The 4,719-nt window shown below is 33.1% G+C and overlaps 1 annotated feature.

The window, feature by feature from the left end:
• Positions 3,415 to 3,615: a silencer, noted in NCBI's record as "peak2091 fragment used in MPRA reporter construct". NCBI's record gives its function as "represses an SCP1 promoter by STARR-seq MPRAs in K562 erythroleukemia cells {active_cell/tissue: K562}" and the evidence as "EXISTENCE:reporter gene assay evidence [ECO:0000049][PMID:32103011]".

Below are 4,719 nucleotides of genomic sequence, written 5' to 3' on the forward strand. Positions count from 1 at the left end.
CCTGGATATGAAGGCACTAAGTATTCTTGCATTATGTTACTCCTCTGATGATGTACTTTAACTGTTTTTAACTCTGGAAAATTTAATTATTATTATTATTATTATTATTATTATTTTTTTTTTTTTTTTTTTTTTTGAGACGGAGTCTCGCTCTGTCGCCCAGGCTGGAGTGCAGTGGCGGGATCTCGGCTCACTGCAAGCTCCGCCTCCCGGGTTCACGCCATTCTCCTGCCTCAGCCTCCCAAGTAGCTGGGACTACAGGCGCCCGCCACTACGCCCGGCTAATTTTTTGTATTTTTAGTAGAGACGGGGTTTCACCGTTTTAGCCGGGATGGTCTCGATCTCCTGACCTCGTGATCCACCCGCCTCGGCCTCCCAAAGTGCTGGGATTACAGGCGTGAGCCACCGCGCCCGGCCGAAAATTTAATTATTTTAACCATTTCTTTACCTTTAAATTTAATGAAATTTTGATGCTAAGAAGATGTGTTGCATGTAATACTCCTAGGAATATCACCAAATATACTCTAATAAAGAATCAGTTAAAACTGTATTTTTTAATTGTTATTATCATTTATACCATAACAATTTCTTGATTCAGTGTTATTAAAATAACTGTGTAATTAAAATGGCAGTATCACAAATATAATAAATGTTGCTAATTTATTGAGTAGTACTCAAGTGTCCTGTGATGAGTTACAAAAACGCAAGTTAAAAAGTACAAGACAATTGCTATACTAGGAAATATCAATTACCTATCTTTCAACTATCAACCTTGCATATTCAGAAATCCAGTGTTCTGGTCACTGAAAGCTGCTCTTTATGTAAAATAAACATTTTCCTGTAATATGTATAAACTGAATGCAGTAAACAAAAATGAAGATGTATTTTATAGTTCTCAATTTTTGGTGACAACTGAGATCAAGAAATAAAATGAAGGCTGGACACAGTGACTCATCTTTAATCCCAGTACTTTGGAAGGCTGAGTGGGGTGGATTGTGTGAGGTCAGGAGTTTGAAACCAGCTAGAAGCAACATAGCTAGACCTAATCTCTACCAAAAAAAAAAAAAAATATATATATATATATATATATAAATTAGCCAGGTGTGATGGCTCCTATCTGTAGGCCCAGTTACTCAGGAGGTTGAGATGGGAGGATCACTTGAATCCAGGAGGTCAAACCTGCAGTAAGCCATAGTCACGCCACTGCAATAGAGCCTGAAAAGCAGAGTAAGACTCTGTCTCTAACGTAAATAAATAAATAAATAAAACAAATAAATAAAATGAAGGATTCTGCATGTAAGCAGACCCATGTTATTACAAACATGTGTCCTCAATGATTTTGGTTTTAATATGATTATATGAAGCTATGACTATTGAGCATAAACACATGAAAATTGGGACTTTCACACTTTTATATCTGTAACATTGAATTCTTATTGTATTTTAATTTTTAAAGTAAAATAATTCTTATTCTTAATTGTATAACCCTCTATTAAATTTGCATAAGAGTTTTCATTATATTAAGACTTATGATTTTAAAATAACTTTAGAAACGAATGCATAAAAAAGCCAGTTTTTACTATTATTAAAACAATCTAATCATTAGAATTAAAAACATGTATAATACTTGCTAGGAAAATAAAATTGACCTTTGGTTCTATATCTTTTGGATACTAGTAATGTTTATCATGTATTAATTAATTAGGGAGAAAATGTGAAGACTGTATTTCAAGCAAGAGAAATGGTCCTCCAACAAAATAGATAGACAAATATGATTATATTTTAGTGTGTAGGCTATTAGCATTAAATATTTTATAGAATTTATTCTAAAATATGTCTTTTGAGCTAATAAAATTTGTTATGTGAATAAAGTTTTTTGAAAATTATCTATTCTATAATTGCAGACTCGTAACATTGTATTTGAGGTATACTCAGTAACATTTTCCTTTTATGTTTTCTTTTTCCTCTAATGTGCTGTTAATGGACTTTCCTATCAATAAGGCAAAATTTTGCAACATAACTTGCTGTAACTAGAATATCAGCTTGTCTCTTCATCTGGACATGCCAAATAATGTAAAGGAACTATTTTCTAGTTATTAAAAACAGTAATTGCTGTCTGAATATAAGAGGCTTTGACTCTGTAATTACCACACGATGATAATATAGAAGAGGATAATTGCTTCTTTTTTTAAATTGGTTTGAAAAGGCTACGTTCTATATAATTCTGTGTAGTCTTACCATTTCATCCCATGATAATGGATGAAACTGCTACAAATTGTCAATAAATGACTGAGCTTCCATTCCACTTCTTAAAATAGTTGTAATCAATAGAATTAATTAAAATGAATTATTATATTTTATAATTGTAGATTTATTTTTTAGGCATTCTAATAGGAGTTCGGTGGTATCTCTTTGTGTGTGCTGTTTTATTGAGACATAATTCACATTTCATATTATTCATTCTATTTAAAAGTATACAAATTACTAGTTCTTAATATATTCACAAGATTTTGCAATTATCATTCCTCTCTATTAAATAATTATAAGAAATTTTCATCACCCCCCTAAAATCCCCACACTTATTAGCCATCATTCTCAATTACCCCTTAGCTCCATCCCCTGACAACTACTAATCTACTTCTATGAATTTGCACATGCCAAACATTTCATAAACAGAAATCATACAATATGTGGTCTTTTGTGTCTGTTTTTTTTTTTTTCACTTAGCTTACTATTTTAAAGGTTCATCTATGTTGTAGCATGTATCATTCTTTTTTGTTGTTTTATTTAAAGTGGAACTTTGTGAGATTCTTTTGCATTATTTAATTTTATTTTAAATTCAGGGGTACATGTGCAAGTGTGTTATATATATAAATTTGTATCATGGGGATTTGTTGTACAGATTATGTTACCTCCCAGGTATTAAGCTTAGTACTCATTAGTTATTTTTTCTGATCCTCAACCTCCTCCCATCCTCCACCCTCTGATATGTCCCAGTGTGTGTTGTTTTCCTCTTTGTGTCCATGTGTTCTCATCATTTAGCTCCAACTTATAAATAAGGACATGTGGTATCTGTTTTTCTGTTTCTGTTTTAGTTTGCTAAGGATAATGGCCTCCAGCTCCATCCATCCATGTCTCTGCAAAGTACACGTATTAGTCAGGGTTCTCTAGAGGGATAGAACCAATAGGATATATGTATATATTAAAGGGAGTTTACTAAGGAGAATTGACTCACACAATTATAAGGTAAAGTCCCATGATACACTGCCTGCAAGTTAAAGAGCAACTAAGCCAGTAGTGGATGAGTACAAATCCCAAAACCTCAAAAGCAGGGAAGCCAACATTGCAGCCTTCAGTCTGTGAAAGGGCCAAGAAGCCCTGGCAAACTCCTGGTGTAAGTCCGAGAGTCCAAAAGCTGAAGAACTTGGAGCTTGATGATGAGGGCAGAAAGCACCCAGCACAGGAGAAAGATAAAGGCCGGAACTCTCAGTAAGTCTGCTTTATTCTAGCTGGGCTGGCAGTTGATTAGATAGTGCCTACCCACAATGAGCGGGGGCGGGGTCTTTCTCTCCGAGTTCACTGACTCAAATGTTTATCTCCTTTGGCAACACCCTCACAGACACACCCAGGAGCAATACTTTACATCCTTCAATCCAATCTAGTTTACACTTAATATTAACCATCACGGGACATGATCTCATTCTATTTTATGGCTGCGTAGTATTCCATAGTGTGTTTGTACCTTTTTTTTTAACCCAGTCTACCATTGATGGGCATTTAGGTTGATTCCATGTCTTTGTTATTGTGAATAGTACTGCAATGAACATATGTGTGTATGTGTATATAATAGAATGCTTTATATTTCCTTGGATATATACTCAGTAATGGGATTGTTGTGCTGAGTGTATTTCTGTCTTTAGGTTTTTGAGGGATCATTTTTTCTACAGCCAAACAGTATCCTATTTTATCATTTAACTATGGCACATTTAGGTTATTCATTCATCCCGTCATGATGTTTTATTTATCTTCCATTTTTGTCTATTATGACAGTGCTATGCTTCTACAAATATTGTTTACAAGCTTTTGCATGACTTTGTGTTTTTAATTATCTTCTTAATATATTTCCAGCTATAGAACTGCTGAATCATATTTCAATCTTAAGTTTAACTATCTGAATAATTGCCAAAATGTTTTTCAAAGTAAGTATAAAGTATTAAATTTTCCCCAGCTGTGAGTCGGAGTTCTAAGAATTTCATATCTTTGTCAACTTTTACTATTGTCCATCAATTTGATTATAGTGATTCTAGTGTGTGTAAAAGGTATCTCCTTGTGGTTTTGTTTTGTTTCATTATCTGCCTTCTTTTTGAAGAACTTCTATTCACATTGTTTACAGTAATGATTGCTGACAATAAATTATGAAGATTTTTGTTTATCTGGTAATGTATCTATTTTATGATCACTTTTGAAGGATAAGTTTATTGGTTATCGAAGTCTGGATTGTTTTTTAAATTGTAGCTTTTTTAGCTCTTTAAATATTTCACTGTTCTTTTTTGTATGGTTCATATTGAAACGTCTTATGTAATTCTTATGCCTGTTCTTCTAAAATTACAATCTTGTATTCCCTCTGCCTGCTTTAAAGATTTTCTCTGTCTTTGTTCTTCTGCAGTTTGAATATGATATGCATAGGTTTATATATTTTTAAAAAAATATGTTAATCCT

This window comes from Homo sapiens, chromosome 13 (genome assembly GCF_000001405.40).
Source record: "Homo sapiens chromosome 13, GRCh38.p14 Primary Assembly".
NCBI classification, from domain to species: Eukaryota; Metazoa; Chordata; class Mammalia; order Primates; family Hominidae; genus Homo; species Homo sapiens.